Genomic DNA, 20,405 nt, shown 5'->3' with positions numbered 1-20,405 from the left:
TAAGGGGTGGGGCGAGAGGGGAGCCTTCACAAGTGGGTGGGGTTGGAGGGCCTGGGTATAAGGAGGTTTGGATGCTGCAGGCGAGGACTAGTGCGTGCGTCACGAAGGGGCGGGCCCACGGTGGATGGGCCTTCTCGGCGCCCGGGGGGAAGGAGAGGGTCTTGAGAAGCGATGTTGCCGGGTCTTAAAAAGGCGGAGCTTAGAGGTAAATTGCCTTAGGGGCGGGGCAGATGAGAGGTCCAAAGGGGAGGAGCGACGCATCGGTGTTCGCGTGGGCGGGGCCTCGGGAGGGAATGAGAGGGGCGGGACATTCTAAAGGGGAGGGGCTAAGGAGAACAACCCAAAGGGGTGGAGCTTAGAACCAGAAGGCCTGGGGGCGAGGAACAAGACCTCGGAGTATTTCAAGGGGAGACCTAGGTTCGTAAGGGGCCGGGCTCCCGCGGGCTCGCAGGAGGGCGGGGCCTCGAGCTCCGGGGGCGGGGCCTACATCTCGGGGTCCGCCCTAGTTGTCTCGCCCACTTGCCTTCACCCGCACCCCCGTTCTTTTCGGTTATTTTCTGCTACGGCAGTTCCCTGCCCTGCCCCGGGCCCAGGGCGCCGCGGTCTGAACTCTGCTCGGCTGGAGGACTCGGTGAGTGGGTTCCTCTGGGGGGAGGCGGGGCCAGGGCGGAGCTTGGGGACAGGGGTGGAGCTTGACTGTGGATGCCAGCTAGTAGACCTGGAGCGGGAAGAGGTTTAGGGGTGAGGCCTGAGGATCTGCCCCTGCCTGGGAAGAGGGCGGGACCCAGGTGCTCTAGAGAGAGGCGGGGAGTCGGAGAGTTAGAGGAGAGGACTGAGGGATCAGCATGACCAGCCAAGGGGACAGGCATGGAACCTTAGTACATAATGGGGCTGGTAGTGAAGTATCTTAACAGCAGCTGTGTTGGGGACATGGGCAAGAAGGCGTGAGTGTCGAAGGTCGGGGAACAGGAGTGCGACCTAAGGACTTGGGCCTGATCGGATCTTGGAGAACAGGGGCGGGGCCGGTGCGGACGCATTAGATCAAGTACAGCCAGCCTCGTAGGGTCCCCACGGCCCTGGCAGGCTGACTGGAGTAAATTTTTCTGACTAGTCTCCGAGCTCCGTCAGAAATGGGGAACTTGCAGTCGGAGCCATCCGCGGGCGGGGGCTCCCGAAAAGTGCAGCCCTCGGACCGCGCCCCCGACTCCCGCCGGACGTCCCTGGTGGAGCCCGAGATGACCTCCCAGGCCATGCGCCTGACTCGTGGGCTGGGTGTCTGGTTCCCTGGCAGCGCCACACCCCCGGGACTCATGGTACCCCGGGAGCCCCAGGCCTCACCCTCGACCCTGCCCCTCACCTTAGAACGGCCCTCTCCAGTGATGCCCCCTCCTGAAGAGGCGGCCGCGGTCTCTGCACCACCCCCGGCCCCCGCGGGGACTCTGCTGCCCGGCCCGTCTAAATGGCAAAAGCCCGCGGGCACTCCAGTTCCCCGGATCCGCCGCCTGCTGGAGGCGAGCCATCGCGGCCAGGGCGACCCTCCGAGCCTCCGCCCGCTGAAGCCGCCGCCGCCGCCCCGGCAACTATCCGTGAAGGACACTGTCCCGAGGGCCCCATCCCAATTTCCGCCGCCCCTGGAGACTTGGAAGCCGCCACCACCATTACCTTCTGAACGGCAGCCGGCGGACCGCAGAATCACTCCTGCTCTGGCCACACCCGCCTCACCCCCGACAGAAAGCCAGGCTGGGCCCCGCAACCAGGGCCAGACGGCCGGCAGGGCTCGCGGAGGGGCGCCTCCCCATGCGGGCGAAGGCGAAATGGCCCAGCCTGCGGATTCCGAGTCCGGTCTGAGCCTGCTGTGTAAAATCACCTTCAAGTCGAGGCCCTCTTTGGCCCCTCCGGCAGCCTCGAGTTCCTTAGCAGCCAAAGCTTCGCTGGGGGGCGGCGGAGGCGGCGGCCTCTTTGCTGCCTCAGGTGCCATCTCTTACGCCGAGGTCCTGAAGCAAGGGCCCCTGCCTCCTGGAGCCGCTCGCCCCTTGGGAGAGGTTTCTCGAGGGGCACAGGAAGCCGAGGGAGGTGATGGAGACGGCGAAGGGTGCTCTGGTCCTCCCTCGGCGCCTGCGTCCCAAGCCCGGGCCCTACCGCCGCCACCCTACACCACCTTCCCAGGCTCGAAGCCCAAATTCGACTGGGTTAGCGCTCCCGACGGCCCTGAACGCCACTTCCGCTTCAACGGGGCTGGCGGAGGCATCGGGGCGCCGCGACGGCGTGCGGCCGCACTCTCTGGGCCTTGGGGCTCCCCTCCGCCACCACCAGAGCAGATACACTCAGCTCCCGGGCCCCGGAGGCCCGCACCTGCCCTGCTGGCGCCGCCTACGTTCATCTTCCCAGCACCCACCAATGGCGAGCCCATGCGCCCGGGGCCTCCAGGCCTGCAGGAGTTACCACCGCTGCCACCGCCCACACCGCCGCCCACACTGCAGCCACCAGCGCTCCAGCCAACGCCGCTGCCGGTGGCTCCCCCGCTCACCCCGGGTCTGGGCCACAAGGAGTCAGCCCTGGCTCCCACCGCAGCCCCTGCTCTGCCCCCAGCCTTAGCCGCCGACCAGGCCCCGGCCCCATCCCCGGCTCCAGCTCCCACCGTGGCTGAGCCCTCGCCGCCTGTGTCCGCGCCCGCACCCGCGGCTGCGCCCATCAAGACCCGCACGCGCAGGAACAAGGGTTCCCGTGCAGCCCGGGGCGCGACCCGTAAGGATGGCTTGCATGGAGATGGTCCTCGCGAACGAGCTACAGCTACCGTGCCTGACAGCAGTGGTGGAGGGGGTGGTGGCAGCGGGGCCTCTCAGACTGGGGCAGCTAACACCCGCGCTGCGCGCCACTGGCTGCCCTTCCAGGTGCTTAACTCCTGTCCCTGCAAGTGTTACTGCCACCACCAGCCACGCCATCGCCGCCTGCCACGCAACGTCTCTGCCTGGTGAGAGGGGAGAAGGGACAGGAGGGTGCCGAACCCCAGACTGCTGGATAGAGTCCTACTCAGCCCTTTGGCTTCCTGACCCTAGAATGACCCGTGGCCTTCATCTCTGCCACATCTCAAACCTAGCTGAGCTCCCACCCTTCAGGACCAAGAGGACCCATGATCCCATGCTGACCTTTGACGGGGAAAGGGGGACACCCTGGCCCAGCCCTATGGCATCCAATCCCTAAGTGGACTCTTGGCCCTCCTGTACCTCTCTTGGAGCCATTAGAGAGGGAGGCTGGTCCCAGCTGGCCTGACCCTATACACTGCCTTGACCCTGTCCCTGAGGGTATCAAGGAGGACCACGTCCGAGGCCACTCAGGGATGGGGGTGAGGGGATGACTGTCTTCCTGGAACTAAATGGGGGTAGATGCACGCCTCCAACTTTACTGGGCACAGGGGCAGCCCTGGACTCCTGACCCCTCTAGCCTCTGAGGACTTCTCCTGACTCTGGGACTCAAGGCTTCAGCCGCCAGAGGGCACTGATGTCCCAGCCCTTGTGCTGGGGAGGCTCCTCCTGAGTCCCACATCCAGGGGGACAATGCATCCTCCAGCCACCCCCTACCCACACTGAATCACCAGATCTGGCCACTGGGGTCTGATACTGACTCCTGGGAGTGCTGAACCACTGGGAGACTGCCCTGGACCTCTTGAAGCTTAGCTGGGACACTCGCCAGCCCTCAGCTCCCTTTCCTATTAAGTGGCCACAGCCCTGCCCTAAACTGCCTTTGGGATATTCCAATATAGCCTTCAGAAGCTTCCCTATTCATATGGGGACAGGGAGGCCCTAGAAGGGCTAGAGGCCTGGTCCCATTGCTGGGCTTTGCTGACTCTACCCTCCCCCACTAGGCTGAGCACATCCACCAACCACCTGGGCGAGCCACCCTGGGTTGCCACCATCAAGCTGTCCGGCTCTCTGGTGGCCAAGCTGGAGCACTACGACTTGCAGGCCACCCATTCCAACTGAGTGTAGTCGGCTCAACACCCTCCACCTTCCCCTCCATGCCAATAAAATAACCAATCCAGATGCCAGCAGCCTGTCAATCACTCGCCAAGGCAGTGGGTAGGGTGCAGCAGGGCAGGATCGCCATTAAAGCACATCTTGGAAACAATCGTGAAGCTGGACCAGAGCAGCAGTAACTGAGGTTCCATTCACCCAGCACCCAGACTGATGGGTCCAGGGCGGGGGGGATCTGATTCCCCTTAATCCATAAGCCCCAATTCTGAGCTAACCTGGTACCAAGCTCACAGGCTCAGCACAAACCACTTTGCAAAGGAGTGATCATTCCCATTTCACAGTTGGGAAAACTAACTCTGGAAGACTTGTGAAATTTCCACATCCCACAAGGGATTCAGCCAGATTTGGACCCTGCGCCTTGAACACCTTCCCAAGAATTTCAAGGCAGGAAACCTAGGCTGGGGGGTGTGCGGGGAGGTCCTCAATCACATGCTGGCTCAGGGAGGGTGGGACCCACAAGCCCACACCAGGGCCCACACCTTTTGTTCCACAAAGAGCCCAAACTGGCAGCCTACAGATGGGTTCCATTTCACATGTCATTTGAAAAATTGTTTAATTCACTGCCAACATTTATTCTTTTTAGTAGGACACTTCACCCCCTTTGTTGAAAAAATCTGGTACCCTGGTCCAGCATTCCTATGTGTCCACAGCTGGCTAGAACAGTCCCCCTACCTGGGGCCATGCCCTCCTGCAGGCCACAGTGCTGCTGGGGCCCCACAGTGGGCGTCCATGTTTGAGACCCTGAGCAATGCCCACCAGACAGAGGCTGACCCAGTTGGAGGCTATCTCCAACTCCTGAATGCCCCAAAACCTCCAAGTTCTTCAGATATAAGAACTTGTCTCTCTGCCGTCCCAACTGGGGAGACAAGGGCCTGGAAGAGGGAATGTCAGTCCACCTTTATTGGGCGAAACCCTGCAGTGTAACTGTTTTAAATAACTCGTGCCCTGCCCCACCCAGTGCCCGGGGGGCTCAGACGATCATCTCCAGCTGCCGGGCATACTCGATGACCTGTTTGGCCAGTTCTGTGGAGGGAATGGTGGTGTCTTCCGGCTTCTGCTGCTGGCTGGCAAAACTGTAGTAGTTGTTGGGGCCCAGGACCCACCCTCGCTGCAGGAAAGGAGGGATTAGAGACGAGTAGAGTGATCACAAAGGCTCCATCCCCACCCTATGGGGCCAGCACTTGCCCACGTGTCCTATGCTCTCTTTTCTCACCAATCGTACTCTGCCCAACGACCCTTGACAAGTAACTTCACCTCTCTGTGCCTCAGTTTCTCTGTGTTGAGACTGGGACCCTAATTACACACCTCTCTGGGTCAACTGTGAGGATTTGGTGAATCAACATCTTTAAAGCACTGAGGATAGTGTTTGGCCTGAGTGACAGATCAGTTACCAGCTGTCACCATCACTAAAATTCAATTTCACCTTCTTCTTTTTTTTTTTTTTTTCCCCAGACAGAGTCTCGCTCTGTCACCCAGGCTGGAGTGCAATGGCGTGATCTCGGCTCACTGCAACCTCCACCCTCCTGGGTTCAAGCAATTCTCCTGCCTCAGCCTCCCGAGTAGCTGAGATTACAGGCACCCGCCACCACATCCGGCTAATTTTTTTTGTATTTTTTAGTAGAGATGAGGTTTCACCATGTTGACCAGGCTGGTCTCGAACTCCTGACCTCAGGCGATCCTCCCACCTCAGCCTCCCAGAGTGAGCCTAGGTGGGAGGATCCACCTTGGTGCGCGGGAGCCACTGCACCCAGCCCAATTTCACCTTCCATAGCCTGGTCCCAGCCCTCCTCCTGCAACACCAAGCGTTGCTCGTGCTCAAACGCCTGAGACCAAATGAAGCAAAGTCTTGCAGAAAAAGCTGCCACCTCTAAGAAATTTTGATAAAGACAGCAGCCAACATGCGTGCAGCGCCCACCTCCAGCTGCTGCCAGGTACTAAGCTCATCCCATGTATCTAGCCCCATTCTGTGGATAGAGAAACTGATGTCAGAGAGCTTTGGCAGCTTGCCTAGAGTCACACAGTTGAACTTAAACCTGGGCAGTCTTGTTCCAGTGTCCCTCTAAGCCACCCCACACTGTTGTTAGTGACTTCACCCCTTGGTCCCACGGCCCCTTGCCCTGTACCCCAGCCACCTTCTTGGCGTAGTCTGTCATCTTTTTGGGTGTGTTGAAGAAGAGGATCCGGGTGGCCTCAGTGAAAAGGATTTTCTCGTAGGCCTTCTCGATGCACCCAGCGATCTCATCCCTGGGGGAAGATGAGAAGCTCCTCATTACTGAGCATCAACAACCTCCCAGGACCTGTCCCCCCAGACCTGACATGTGTCAGCTCTGACCCTGGAGTTCAGCACTGATGGCAGGAATATGTGAAGGGCCCTGTTTTATTCATCAAGGCTCAGAAGGGGAGAAACTTGACCAGACTCGCAAAGCAAGCAAGGGCCACGGGTGATCCCCACTGAAATCTCTGACTCCTGGGCCCACACTCTGAATCCCACTCCCAGCCACAGGATTTCAGGTCTGAAACCCAGCTTGGGACTCACATGAGGGCATCTCTTCTCATAACACCCATCACCAGGGTGCTGCACCCCACTTCATAGATCCTGAGGGGGTTCCTTGTACCCATCAAGAGGCACCACGAACAACACCGAAGTAGAAATAGAGCAAGGCATGAAGTCACTGTAGTGAGGGAGGGGGTAAGCTCTGGGGAAAAGCCAGTGATGGGGAGGAGTGCCTCCAATATCGCTTAGGCCATGCGGTAGGTAGTGGGTACTGGCTACCACTCCTCACTCGAATGCCTCTGGGCTTGCCTTTGCACCTAAGGCATGGAAACTCATTCTGATTTGGTGCTCTGCCCGAGTGCATCAGCTCAGCCACCACTTCGACACCCTTTTACTCCTCAAGGGATTTGTATGTCACATCCATCTGCCCGTGGGATGTCACTTGTGCACACGGCAACCCAAGGGGCTGCTGGGATTTGGTCAACCCATTCTAGAGAAGGAGAAACTGAGGGTTCCACAGTTTTGGTGGCCGGAGGTGAAGTCTCATGACTCACTGGATGGGTATCTAGGACGGAAGATGGGCTAAGACAGGCCGCACAATCCCTGCCTGCTGAACCAATTCCATGCTCAGGTTTGACACACGTGGCCACACATGTCAACAGCCAAGGGTGGTGAGATGAGAGCCGTTATCCACAATCCCATGACCAGGCCCAATTCACTGAAAAGGAGAGCTGAGGTGCTAGGAGGATAAGAAACACACCTAGCCTACCCAGACAACCAATGGCTGGAATGAGATTCAGACTCGGAGCTGTCCGACTCAAGCCCAAGTTCTTTCCAAACTCCACAGGGCCCGGCCCCGCTACGCACCTGATAGTGTCGAGCAGGATGTCAATGAAGAAGGTGTAGCTCTCGGCGGGGATGTTACCCTTGGCCAGGAACACTTTGTTGTAGCTGCCCTCCATCAGGTACTGCAGAAGCCGGGAAGGGGGAAGAAGAGAGAATGAAGAGGAGGCTGCAAAGGGGCCTACCTGTGTGGGCCTCATCACACTCCTAGTGCCCCTGTAATCCCTTTGCCACACAGCCACACCCCTGCCCTGGGTACCCCCTCTTCCAGAAAGCCCTTGCTGGTTTATGCGCACACACACACACACACACACACTCTCTCTCTCTCTCTCTCACCCCCTCTTCCTCCCTCCCTCCCTCCCCCCAAGCCTGCTCTGGGCTGGCATCTCATTATCTCATCTACTGTCCAATTATCCATCTATTTTCCAGGAGGGAGACAGCGCTGGCTCCACCACAGGCTCATCCCTGTACACCTTTGCCCGAACTGTGCTGCCCGCCCTAACTGCCCTCTCTCCCATCCTCTCCCCACTGACCAAATCCTCCCATAAGATGTCAGCTCCAGGAACAACTTCCTAACCTTAGGTCCTAAGGCTTTGCCCTGGCCCTGCTCACTTTGTTCCAAAAACACTGTCTTCTTGGCTGTCCTTCGAACACAGCAGACACAGTACTGCCTCAGGACATTTGGACTGGCTGGTTCCTCTGCCCGGCTGTCCACAGGGTTCAGTCCCTTACCCTTTTCTTTTCTTTTTTGAGCCTGTTGCCCAGGCTGGAGTGCAATGGCACAATCTTGGCTCACTGCAACCTCCACCTCCTGGGTTCAAGTGATTCTCCTGCCTCAGCCTCCCGAGTAGCTGGGATTACAGGCACCCACCATCCGCCTGGCTAGTTTTTGTATTTTTATAGAGACGGGGTTTCACCATGTTGGCCAGGCTGGTTTCGAACTCCTGAACTCAGGTGATCCACCCGCCTCGGCCTCCCAATGTGCTGGGATTACAGGCGTGAGCCACTGTGCACGGCCACCCTTTTCTTTAAAAAATATGTTTTTATTCATTTATTTTCTAAATAGAGACAGAATCTCACTGTCACCCAGGCTAGAATACAGTGGTGTGATCATAGCACACTGCAGCCTTGAACTCCTGGGCTCAAGCAGTCCTCCTGCCTCAGCCTCCCAAAGTGCTGAGATTACAGGCATAAGCCAGTTCCTCACCCTTTTCAAGTCTTTCTCCAATTTCACCTTTTAGGTGAGGCCTTCTGACTCCCCGAGATAAATATCACCCATCCCTGCCTCTCCACCCTCCTTCCTGCTTTTTCTCCACAGCACTCAGCATCTGACAGACTGCGCAGGCCACTCACTCTTCGGGCTTACTATCTGCTTCCACACCCCAGTGTCATCACCACAAGATCATGAATTTCACCTGCTTGGCTCACTGCACAGTCTGACAACCTACCACAGTGCCAGGCACACAGCTGGGACTCAGTATTTGTTGGACAAACAAGAGGATGGGTCCGTGGGTGGAAAGATGGGTGAACCCTGGCCACTCCTTCAGGAAAGCCCTCCTAAGACCACCCCTGCACCACCCACTTTGGCCAGGTCCTCCCCTGCCCCTTGCCATCTCACTTGCTCCAGGGACACTGGGTGCTTGATGTAGACATTGGTCTGTATGTCCTTGGCAGGCAGCCGCTCCAACTCCGTGTGGAACTCAGCCACCCGGTTCTGGGACAGCAGGAAGAGGAGGTTGAGGCCCAAGAGCTGGTGCATATAGGCTGACTCGGGGAGCTGCTCCCTGTGGACGTGGGATGGGGAAGCAGGTTAAGGAGGATTTAAGGGCCTAGCGAGCCCTCTACCCCAGGCTCCAGGAATCCTCACAACGCCCCATGCATCTTCCTGAAGAGGTATCAGGTCCTGGGTTTTCATATGAGGAAACTGTGTCCCAAAGATGCATGAATAAGTCATTTACAAGAGTCATATTGAGTCATACAAGAGCGAGTGACCTCACTTCAGTGAAATGACAACCTCGGTTTCCCAAAGTGTAAACTGGGTATCACCATAGTATCCTTTTATTTATTTTTTGAGAAGGAGTCTCTCTCTGTTGCCCAGGCTGGAGTGCAATGGTGCGTTCTTGGCTCACTGCAACCTCCGCTTGCCGGGTTCAAGCGATTCTCCTGATTTAGCCTCCCAAGTAGCTGGGACTACAGGCACATGCCACCATGCCCGGCTAATTTTTTGTACTTTTAGTAGAGACGGGGTTTCACTATGCTGGCCAGGCTGGTCTCGAACTCCTGATCTCGTGATCCACCCACCTCGGCCTCCCAAAGTGCTTGGATTACAGGTATGAGCCACTGCGCCCAGCCCTTTTTTTTTTTTTCAATTCCGAGACAAGGTCTTGCTCTGTCACCCAGGCTCACTGCAGCCTCAACTTCCCACGCTCAAGCCATCCTCCCACCTCAGACTCCAAAGTAGCTGGGACTACAAGTGCACACCACCATGCCCAGCTAATTTTTTTTTTTTTTTTTTTGAGACGGAGTCTTGCTCTGTCGCCCAGGCTGGAGTGCAGTGGCCCGATCTTGGCTCACTGCAGGCTCTGCCTCCTCGGTTCATGCCATTCTCCTGCCTCAGCCTCCCGAGTAGCTGGGACTACAGGCGCCCACCACCACACCTGGCTAATTTTTGTATTTTTCTTTTAGAGACAGGGTTTCACCGTGTTAGCCAGGATGGTCTCAACCTCCTAAGCTCATGATCCGCCCACCTTGGCCTCCCAAAGTGCTGGGATTACAGGTGTAAGCCACCATGCCCAGCCTGCCCAGCTAATTTTTCAATATTTTTTGTAGAGACAGGATTTCGCCATGTTGGCCAGGCAGGTCTGGAAATCTTGGGCTCAAGTGATCCTCCTGTCTCAGCCTCCCAAAGTGCTGGGATTTCAGGCATGTGCCATCATGCCCGGCCTCACAGTATCCATTTCGTAGAGATGGGTTGAATGAACAAGGGTTAAGTGAATTAAATGATTCAACCCAGGTAAGGTGATTAGAACAATACCTGGCCCAAATAAACACAAAGTGTTAGCTATAACTATATTAAGAGTTACTGGCCGGGCGCGGTGGCTCACGCCTATAATCCAAGCACTTTGGGAGGCCGAGGCGGGTGGATCACCTGAGGTCAGGAGTTCAAGACCAGCCTGGCCAACCTGGCAAAACCCCATCTCTACTAAAAATACAAAAATTAGCTGGGCGTGGTCGTGGGCACCTGTAATACCAGCTACTCAGGAGGCTGAGGGAGGCTGAGGCAGGAGAATCACTTGAACCTGGGAGGCGGAGGTTGCAGTGCACCGAGATCCAGCCGTTGCACTCTAGCCTGGGTGGACTCTAGCAGGGCGTGGTGGCGCATGCCTGTAATCCCAGCTACTTGGGAGACTGAGGCAGGAGAATAGCTTGAACCCGGGAGGCAGAGGTTGTGGTGAGCCGAGATTGCACCATTGCACTCCAGCCTGGGCAACAAGAGTGAAACTCCGTCTCAAAAAAAAAAAAAGTTATTGGAGTCAGATGCAATGACTCAACACCTGTAATCCCAACACTCTGGGAGCCCAAGGCAGGAGGATCACTTGTGGCCAGGAGTTCGAGACCAGCCTGGGCAACAAAGCGAGACCCCCATCTCTACAAAAAATTAAAATAAAAGAGCCAGGAGTGGTGGTGTGCACCTGTAGCCCTAGCTACTTGAGAGGCTAAGGTAGGAGTACCGCTTGAGCCCAGGAGGTCAAGGCTGTGGTGAGCCATGACTGCACCACTGCACTCCAGCCTGGGCAACACAGCAAGACCCTGTCTCCAAAAATAAATAAATAAAAGAATCACCACTCCCTACTTTAACAGGGAAACTGAGAGAGGTAAAGTCATTTGCCCAAGACCTCATAATCAGGAAGCGGCTGGATGTTTCAAAGCCAGATTTGTCTGATGTCAAATTCCCAATCATTAATCTGTGCAGGTATCATTCAGTTTTATATTCAACACATATCCAGTGAGTCCCTGTTCTGGGCCTGGCCCTGTGGTAGGCAGTGCTAGGGACATAGCAGTAACTGAGACAGTTCCAAGCTCTGCCTTTAGAAAGCTCACAGTCCAGTGAGAGAAAGGGCTGGGATGAGCAGGCACAGGCAGAGGGGTGTGAGCTGGAACTGCATTGGAAGCCACAGGAAAGAACTTGGTCTTGTGCCTGAGGACCATGAAGAGCCACGGCAGGTTCTGAGCGGGGTATGGACAGTGTCAAATTTTAGTGTCACATGATCCTACTGGCTGCCACAGGGGTTTGAGTCAGAGGGGCAAGGCTGGGGCCAGGACACGTGAAAGGTGATGGCAGCCCCACTGGGCAGAGGGGGTGCAATGTGGGAATGGGTAGGGGGAGACTGACTAGTCAAGCCAAGTCTCAGGACCTCCAAGCCAAGCCCTGACCCTGCACCACTGAGGAGAGAACTAAGCCAGGAGGAGTTCCCAGATGAAGGAAGAGGACCCAAGCAGCCAGAGCTCCAGAAATAAAGGAGCTTCCATGCAACCACCCCCCCAGTTGGGGGCAGGGCCCATTCTCACTTGTAATCAAAGTAGTAGCATTTGAGCTGGGCCATGTAGCGCTCGAAGGAGGGGATGTCCTTGCGTAGGATGCTCCATTGGGCCCCGATCTCCAGTATGTCACCTGTGGGTGACAGAGTGAGCTCTCAGGAGGTGACTGAGGTCTCTTCCCCAACCACCAGTGCTACCATTCCTGCCATGACCCCCAGATTATCACCCCCAACCAACCCCAGTGACACTCACGGGCCAGAATTAGCTGCTGTTTGGTCAGCTTGGTCCCTGTGGTTGGCAAGAAGTTGAGCTCCAGAAGAACTAGCTGATGGGGAGGGGAGGGAGGGAAGAAAGAAAAGAAGGGAATTCAAATACAGATGACTTACCTGCTCTACGCTCTGGTCTTCCCACTTGGAAAATGGAGCTAACCATCATCCAGACTCATGAGGAATGCTTTCTCATAAAGCACTCAGAACAGGGCCTGAGCACGCAACACATGCCCATTTAAGATTACATCACATTACAATTATTAATAGCCCCACTGGGGAAACAAGGAGGGACACTCAGTGCCTGACCCAGTGGAATCACGCGGCGGTGGGGACAGGAGTACATTCCATTCTTGGCCCATCTTCCCCACAATCTATTGGGGAAGGGGTAGCTGGGCTATCCCCAAAATCTATATCTGGGAGGGGGAGGTCCAAATCTCCCCCCACAGTTCAGCCCATACATCTTTCCTTAGCAGGCTCAGCAGCTTGTTCCAAGCCACTGGATTTACACTCCCTCCCAACAGATGTTTGGTCTGAAGCACTCTGGGCCCCGTATTCTTGTTCTCTACTTGTAAGAATATTTCTTCTAGGTTCAGTCCTGCCTTCACAACTAGGCTGCCCCCTCTCCCAACAGATGCGAGCCTAAGCCCCAGATCTCTCAGATCCTAACCCAGCCTGGTCTTAACCACACACCCTCTACACAGCCCACCTTTTCAGCCTCATTCTTTTATCACTCCGGGCAGTCCTCACTTCCCACTTGGTCTTGCCTGGAATCCACCATCAGGAAAAGCCCGAATCCCAATCCTGCCACTCCGACCAGTTAAGCCTCCACGCACCAAAAATCTAACCCCTCACTCAGTTCTGCCATAAGTCTTCCAATCATTCCCCCACCACCCCCGCGTGGGTCCATTCCAGTCATCTCTCACTTAAAAAAAAAATGTAGAGACAGAGTCTCGCTATGTTGCTCAGGCTGATCTTGAACTCCTGGGCTCAAGCGACGCTCCCCCGCCTCGGCCTCCCAAAGCGCTGCGATTACAGGCGTGACCATCAACGCTCCCTGTCCCTCTCTCGCTTCTTGACGCCCTCCGAGCCCCCACTTTGGCTGTTCCAAATCTTTCACCCCATCGGATCCCCCAGCCCGCCTCAGTCTCGCTGGCACCGAGGTGGCTTCCGCGGCCCGGGACTTGGTTGGGTCCAGACACCTCGTAGCGCCTCCCACGCCCGCAACACTCGGTTTCCTGGGCCTGCCGACTTTACCTTGAGTCGACCCAGCTCTTCCCCGCACTTGCTAAGATTGGGGCTTTTACGGTTCCACTCGCCCTTGAGTTGCTCGTACATGCCGGTCGCGGCCTGCAGAACAGCGCCCGAGGTTGCCGCGGGCCCGGAGCTCGAGAAGCCTGCCGCCCCGTTCACCGCCGCGGCCGCCATCTTGCGTGATGCGGCAAGCAGACCGCCTGATTTACGGCAGCGCCGCCTACAAACGCTTGCCCGGCGGAAGTGGGGCCGAGAGGTGGAGCCCAAGGCCCGGGGCGGGGCTACAACCTGCCTCAGCCCGCCCCGGGTAGCCCGCCGTCGCTCTCGAGGTGGCGCCCTCGGAGCCCTGCCCTTAATGAACATGTCAGTTGGAGCTCCGCCTCTGTCGTCACTCAAGATGGTGACCGGAAGTTGGCTTTTGCCCTAACTGAAAATGACAGCTGTCTCAACACCACCCCCCCTACCCACCTCACGGTTCCAATAATGAACATGGCTGCCCTGGCTTCAGTCTGAGTGCTCGGGACGCTACGTAGCTGTCCTGGAGGTTCCGCCTTCGGGGCAGCGTCTCCAAGCCAAAAGGTAGCGGGTGTCGTGCCATTTGGAGAGCTGTGTTATTCTCATTTTATAGACAGACTGAGAGGCTGGGTAACCTTCCAAAGGACTAACAGCTAGGATGTGTACCTGGGGCTCCCTCTCCAGTCTTTTTCAATGCATCCTTCCACATTTTTTTCCCAAGCTTATATGAACTAACTAGTTACAAAACTCATCCAGCTCTATGGCTTTCAATGTCATGTGTAAGTGGAGGATTCACAATTTTTTTTTTTTGAGACGGAGTTTAGCTCTTGTTGTCCAGGCTGGAGTGCAATGGAGCAATCTTGGCTCACTGCATCCTCCGCCTCCTGGGTACAAGTGATTCTTCTGCCCCAGCTTCCCAAGTAGCTGGGATTACAAGCATGTGCCACCACGCCTGGCTAATTTTCGTATTTTTAGTAGAGACGTAATTTTAGTATTTTTAGTAGATGTTGGTCAGGCTGGTCTCCAACTCCTGAACTCAGGCGATTCCCTGGGCCCTGGCCTCCCGAAATGCTGGGATTACAGGCATGAGCCACCTTGCCTGGCCAGTATTCACAACTTCTTATACCAACTTCTTCCTCCACTGATTGATATTACATCTGCACATTCAACATCGCTTTTTCTCTCTTTTTAAAAAAAATTAAATTTTTTATAGAGACAGAGTCTCATTATACTGCCCAGGCTGGTCTCGAACTCCTGAGCTCAAGCGATATTCCTGCCTTGACCTCGCAAAGTGTTGGGATTAGAGGTGTGAGCCACTGCGCCTGGGCAGCACGTTTTTCTCAAACCCGACTTTCACTCTCCGTCTCCACCATTTAGAATGTCATCTCCATGAAGGCAGGACGATTTCCTTCACTACTGAATTCCCAGTATCTCAGTGCTTGGCAAATATTAGTAGACAGTCAATAAATATTTGTTGGCCAGGCATGGTGGCTCATGCCTGTAATCCCAGCACTTTGGGAAGCCGAGGCAGATAGATCACTTGAGGTCAGGAGTTCGAGACCAACCTGGCCAACATGGCGAAACCCCATCTGTACTGCAAATACCAAAAAAAAAAAACAAAAAAACCAGCTGTGCGTGGTGGCACACACCTGTAATCCCAGATACTCAGGAGCCCGAGGCAGGAGAATCGCTTAAACCCAGGAGGTCAGCTTGTAGTGAGCTGAGATTGTGCCGCTGCACTCCAGCCTGGGTGACAGAGTGAGACTCTGTCTCAGAGAAAATAAATAAATAAATGTAAAAATACCAAAAATTTGCCGGGCGTGGTGGTGCACATCTGTAGTACAGCTACTTGGGAGGCTGAGGCAGGAGAAGCACTTGAACCCGGGAGGCAGAGGTTGCAGTGAACTGAGATCGCCATTGCACTCCTGCCTGGGTGACAGAGCGAGACTGTGCTCAAAAAAAAAAAAAGAAAAAAGAAAAAAAGAAAAAGAAAGAAATTATATATGTGTTGAATTAATGAGTAAATTAATATGTGAAAGAAGTTGTGGTGGTAAAAAATGTTTTAAACAAAAATGATGGCCGGGTGTGGTGGCTCAAGTCTGTAATCTCAGCACTTTGGGAGGCTGAAGTGGATGGATCACCTGAGGTCAGGAGTTTGAGACCAGCCTAGCCAACATGGTGAAACTCCGTCTCTACTATACAAAAAATTATCTATCCAGGTATGGTGGCGGGTGCCTGCAATCCCAGTTACTCACTCGGGAGGCTGAGGCAGGAGAATCACTTGAACTTGGGAGGTGGAGGTTGCAGTGAGCCAAGATCGCACCATTGCACTCCAGCCTAGGCAACGAGCAAAACTCCATCTCAAAAAAAAAAAGAAAAAGACACAAATAAACAAAATACCACGTTGATATGGCCAGGCCAGGTGGCTCATGCCTGTAATCCCAGCACTTCGGGAGGCTGAGGCGGGCAGATCACGAGGTCAGGAGATGGAGACCAGTCTGGCTAACACAGTGAAACCCCGTCTCTACTAAAAATACAAAAAATTAGCCGGGCATAGTGGCATGCGTCTGTAGTCCCAGCTACTCAGGAGGCTGAGGCAGGAGAATCGCTCGAACCCAGGAGGCGGAGGTTGCAGTGAGCCGAGATCACACCACTGCACTCCAGCCTGGGTAACAGAGCGAGACTCCATCTCAAAAAACATAAATAGTTTCAAGTATGAGGGGAAATCCAGTCTCTGTCACTCTATCTTGGCTGGAAGTGCAGATGGTGATATTTAAATAACATGTTGACTTGGCTGATACAGGATTATGATGTGTTCACCTGGACCATGAGGTGACTCGGTAGAATCTTGGTGGTGGAAACAACCTTAGCCAGCAGCCCTTACACACATGAGTGTTGCCAACTCTTGTTATTGTCAAATTTCATCAGGTTTTTGTGCTACCAACCATGCCTAGTCAATGCCAACCCCAATGTATTCCTCCAACCCAACACTCTGGGTGAGCACCAACTAGGTGCAATCTCATACCTTTCCTCATTCGCTCCTTCATTCATTCATCTATTAATGCTGACCAAATGCCTACCATGCAACAGGGTATTTTTTTACTCATTTATTTCCTCCTGCCTTCATTCCTCCATCTTGTCAATTCATTGGTCACTACGCATCCATCCAGATTATGGACTGTATAACTAGCCTCAGATGGTGAGGGGAGTTGTCCTGAGGTCAGAGACTGCACTCTGAGGAGGACAGAGAAGAAAAAACTACAGAGAAATGAAGGCTGAATCCTGTGGACCTTGGGACTTTGGATCAAACTGTACCTGAAGCCTGTAAATTACCATTTTCATGTAGACCATTTGAGGGAAATATTTGCTACTTGCAACTAAAATAAGAATCCTGACGTCTCCAGGGTCCCCTCCTTAAGACATTAGATAGGTGTTGACATTCAGAATATTTAACACTGAACAATCAGAACAGATGGTCGGCCATAGCAATGGGCCTGGATTGTGGAGGATCCTGCTGGACCACAGGGAGGTCTGGGGTACACTGGGGAGAGGCTCAGCCAACAGGCACACAGAGAAGCCACTATTTAACAGGTGGCCTAGAAGGTTTTTGATATTTTATTTATTGTTTTGTTTTGTTGAGTCGGAGTCTTGGTCTGTTGCCCAGACTGGAGTGCAGTGGCGCAATCTTGGCTCACGGCAACTTCTGCCTCCCAGGTTCAAGGGATTATCCTGTCTCAGCTTCCCAAGTAGCTGGAATTACAGGTACGCACCACCATGCCCAGCTAATTTTTTGTATTTGTAGTAGAGACAGGGTTACGAGTTTTCACCATGTGGGCCAGGGTGGTCTCAAACTCCTGACCTTAAGTGATCTGCCTCCTTCGATCTCCCGAAGTGCTGGGATTACCGGCATGAACCACCATGCCCAGCCAGGTTTATGATATTTTAATGTGCAGCTATGCTGGTACAAACCTTCTGAACTCGAGCTTTTAAGAGAGCCCACTGCTGGTCCTGAAAAAAGGCTTTATTTGAGTCTGAACGAGAAGTAAACATCAAGCAAAACAGAAAGAGAGGCCTGGGCTGGGTGACAGGTTGCATCTTCAAGATGGGCCTCATAAGAGAGGCGTGACAGTAACTGGGGGCTGGGGCAGGTGGGACACTCAGGTCATCAACTGTCTCTCCACGGCTTCCTTGGGTTCAGCCCTGTCCTCTGTCATCCTGGAGCTGAACATGGAGCCCATCCTGGAATGTCTCAGAGACGGCATGCTCGAGATTCCGGAAATGGAGGCGTAGGTGTAGTAGGATTCTGAGGCAATGAGGTTGTTTATCTTCCACCGGATCATCGTGCAGCCCTTCACCACGAGGGGCCACAGGAGGCAGAAGGCGATGTAGAAGATCACCAGGCCCACAAACACGCTAGCTGACACCTGCAGGGAGCAAAGAATGAGTAAGGAGTTGGCACATGATAAGGTACACAGTCCACAATCTGCATCCACAGTGACAGGGAAATTGACAGATGGAGGCATGACAGCAGGAGGAAATGAATGAGTAGACAGCCTGTGGCATGGCAGGCGTTCAGTCAGCATGGCTAGATGAGTGAATAAAGGAATGAATGAGCGAAGGTATAACAAGCATAGGTATGGAGGCGTGGGCCCCTGCCCACCCAGTAGGGCAGCTCCCGGACAGCCACTCACCATGATGATGAAAAGGGCCCGCTTGGGACTGAGTGGCAGCCCGTGGATGTGCAGCAGGAAGGTGAGCTGGTAGTTGCAGTAGGTGCTCGTGTCCACTCCTCTGCAGGGGTTGGGAGGGGATCCAGGATTAGAGGAGAAGCCAGGCATTCCATGGGCAGCCCCTGACCCGCACCTGGGCCACTTGCCTGGCTCACCTATTGCTCACCAACACCTTGAAGAAGAATTCAGGGGCAAAGATGCCTTGGGGAACATTGTCATAGCATGGGGCATTCTCCAGACAGAGCCACCTGCAAGCCAAAGATCAGGCAGTTGTGCTACCAACCATGCCTAGTCTGTGCCAACTCCCAATTTCTTCCTCCACCCAATGTTTTCGGTGAGGACCAAATGGGTGCAATCTCATGCCTTCCCTCATTCATTCCTTCATTCACTCATTCATTCATGCTGACTGAACGCCTACTGTGCCACAGGTTGTCTACTCATTCATTTCCTCCTGCCTTCACACCTCCATCTGTCAATTCCTCTGTCACTGTGCATCCATCCAGATTACAGGCTGTGTATCTATCATATGCCAAATCCTTATTCATTCTTTGCTGCTTGCATTCCTTTATCCCATAAATATAGCTTGAGCACTTACTAGGTACAAAGTCACATCTTTCATTTATTCCCTTCTTTATTCATTATCCAATAAATGCAGGTTAGGCCAGGCATAGTGGTTCACACCTATAATACCAGCACTTTGGGAGGCCGAGGCAGGTGGATCACTTGAGGTCAGGAGTTCAAGACCAGACTGACCAATATGGTGAAACCCCGTCTCTACAAAAAATACAAAAATTAGCGGGGCATGGTGGCATGCACCTGTAATCCCAGCTACACAGGAGGCTGAGTTGGGAGAATTACTTGAACCCAAGAGGCAGAGGTTGCAGTGAGCTGAGATTGTACTACTGCACTCCAGCCTGGGTGACGGAGCAAGACTCTGTCTCAAAAAAATAAATAAAAATAAAAAATAAAGCAGGTTAAATTCTGACTAGGTGCAAGTTGTTCGTTCATTCACTGCCTTCATTTGCTCATGGCTTCATTTTTTTCCTTTCATTGAATGAAACTTACTGAGCCCCTATATATGAATTTGTTTCTCCATTGTTTTATTCATTCATTAATACCCCCATTCAGATATCAATAAATGCCTGCCACGAATTGATTTATTCATTTGTTCATTCTTTCATTCAATACATGCTATGTTAACCAGCCTGGCCAACATGGTGAAACCCCGTCTCTACTAGAAAAAAAAATACAAAAATTAACCGGGCATGGTGGCATGTGCCTGTAATCCCAGTACTTTGGGAGGCTGAGGCAGGCGGATCACCTGAGGTCAGGAGTTCAAGATCAGCCTGACCAACGTGGTGAAACCCCATCCCTACTAAAAATACAAAAATTAGCCAGGCATGGTGGCGGGTGCCTGTAATCCCAGCTACTTGGGAGGCTGAGGCAGGAGAATTGCTTGAACCCAGGAGGCAGAGGCTGCAGTGAGCTGAGATTGTGCCACTGCACTCCAGCCTGGTGGGCCACAGAGGGAGCCTGTCTCAAAAAATAAACAGGAGGCTGAGACAGGAGAATCGCTTGAACCTGGAAGGTGGAGGTTGCAGTGAGCTGAGATCTTGCCACTGCATTCCAGCCTGGGCAACAAAGAGCAAAACTCCATCTCAAAAATAAAAACAAATTTATGAGTCTATTCAGGACCCAGTTCTGGAGGAGAGACAGACCCCACACCAGACAGTGACTGCCCAGAGCTGTCCACTCTGGGATGGGGACGCACAGGTAGGGGGCTCAGGGCCAGGATGGGAGAGCCCCAAGAGGCCATAGGAGCCATGAAGGGACAATTGTCCCATCTTGAAACAGAAAAGTCCTCCTGGCTGAAGGGGCATCTGCCTAAGGCCTGAAAAGAGTCGGAGGGAGCAGCATTCCAGGCAGAGACTTCAGCTTGTGCAAAGTTCAGCCCCATTTAAGTAACACAAAGGCAGTCAGTGTGACTTGGGGATCAAGAGGCCTCCTAGGGGCAGAAAGGATAGGTGGGCCCAATGGACTACCGACAGATGGGGGCCAAGAGGGGCCAGGCTACGCACTCACTCGATGCCTGGGCTCTCGTGGGACATGATGTGAAAGGCTGAGTCTTTGGTGGTCCTTGTGGTCCTCGTGGTCCAGATAAGGCTGTTGGTCCTGTGCAGGCCCAGGTCATCTCAGCCAGGGGTTGGGGGGCGGTGTAGGGGAGGTATGACCT

The 20,405-nt window shown here is 54.2% G+C and overlaps 3 protein-coding genes across 7 annotated transcripts in view, besides 3 other annotated features; 1 reads left to right on the top strand and 2 right to left on the bottom strand.

The window, feature by feature from the left end:
• Window positions 1-7: 7 nt before the first annotated feature.
• On the top strand, window positions 8-4,125 carry GGN (gametogenetin). Of its 4 annotated transcripts, none has more exons than XM_011526603.3 (4): window positions 8-205; window positions 570-631; window positions 1,363-2,971; window positions 3,863-4,125. In XM_011526603.3, exons 3-4 carry the CDS (start codon window positions 1,380-1,382, stop codon window positions 3,978-3,980), a joined length of 1,710 nt encoding a protein of 569 aa, XP_011524905.1. In that variant the 5' UTR covers window positions 8-205; window positions 570-631; window positions 1,363-1,379; the 3' UTR covers window positions 3,981-4,125. The 4 variants fall into 4 exon arrangements, with proteins under 4 accessions (XP_011524905.1, XP_005258676.1, NP_689870.3 ...); XM_005258619.5 differs by having other exon boundaries at window positions 1,112-2,971; NM_152657.4 differs by lacking the exon at window positions 8-205 and adding an exon at window positions 358-417 and having other exon boundaries at window positions 1,112-2,971.
• Window positions 323-562: a silencer, noted in NCBI's record as "silent region_10571". NCBI's record gives its function as "represses an Ori minimal core promoter by ATAC-STARR-seq in GM12878 lymphoblastoid cells {active_cell/tissue: GM12878}" and the evidence as "EXISTENCE:reporter gene assay evidence [ECO:0000049][PMID:35858748]".
• A 442-nt stretch (window positions 4,126-4,567) lies between the features above and the next one.
• On the bottom strand, window positions 4,568-13,821 carry PSMD8 (proteasome 26S subunit, non-ATPase 8). The gene is made up of 7 exons (NM_002812.5): window positions 13,431-13,821; window positions 12,160-12,232; window positions 11,938-12,040; window positions 8,987-9,152; window positions 7,393-7,493; window positions 6,164-6,275; window positions 4,568-5,139 (listed from the first exon to the last, which is right to left on the bottom strand). Exons 1-7 carry the CDS (start codon window positions 13,788-13,790, stop codon window positions 5,002-5,004), a joined length of 1,053 nt encoding a protein of 350 aa, NP_002803.2. The 5' UTR covers window positions 13,791-13,821; the 3' UTR covers window positions 4,568-5,001.
• Window positions 13,282-13,912: an enhancer, noted in NCBI's record as "H3K27ac hESC enhancer chr19:38865120-38865750 (GRCh37/hg19 assembly coordinates)". NCBI's record gives its function as "activates a minimal SCP1, AML or CMV promoter by ChIP-STARR-seq in primed H9 embryonic stem cells {active_cell/tissue: H9 hESC(primed)}" and the evidence as "EXISTENCE:reporter gene assay evidence [ECO:0000049][PMID:30033119]".
• Window positions 13,512-13,651: an enhancer, noted in NCBI's record as "active region_14571". NCBI's record gives its function as "activates an Ori minimal core promoter by ATAC-STARR-seq in GM12878 lymphoblastoid cells {active_cell/tissue: GM12878}" and the evidence as "EXISTENCE:reporter gene assay evidence [ECO:0000049][PMID:35858748]".
• The window catches only part of CATSPERG (catsper channel auxiliary subunit gamma), a 35,114-nt gene continuing 32,157 nt past the window's right edge, over window positions 17,449-20,405 (bottom strand). For both annotated transcript variants that reach the window (NM_021185.5, NM_001330496.2), the window contains 4 exons: window positions 20,255-20,344; window positions 18,328-18,420; window positions 18,134-18,233; window positions 17,449-17,866 (listed from right to left, as the gene is read on the bottom strand). In NM_021185.5, the coding sequence (NP_067008.3) occupies window positions 17,600-17,866; window positions 18,134-18,233; window positions 18,328-18,420; window positions 20,255-20,344 (550 nt within the window). In that variant the 3' untranslated portion in view covers window positions 17,449-17,599. The remainder of the gene's footprint in view (window positions 17,867-18,133; window positions 18,234-18,327; window positions 18,421-20,254; window positions 20,345-20,405) is intronic.

Source organism: Homo sapiens, chromosome 19 (assembly GCF_000001405.40).
Source record: "Homo sapiens chromosome 19, GRCh38.p14 Primary Assembly".
NCBI lineage: Eukaryota > Metazoa > Chordata > Mammalia > Primates > Hominidae > Homo > Homo sapiens.
Note: the sequence above shows the minus strand (reverse complement) of the source record. Positions and strands in the feature narration are given on the sequence as shown.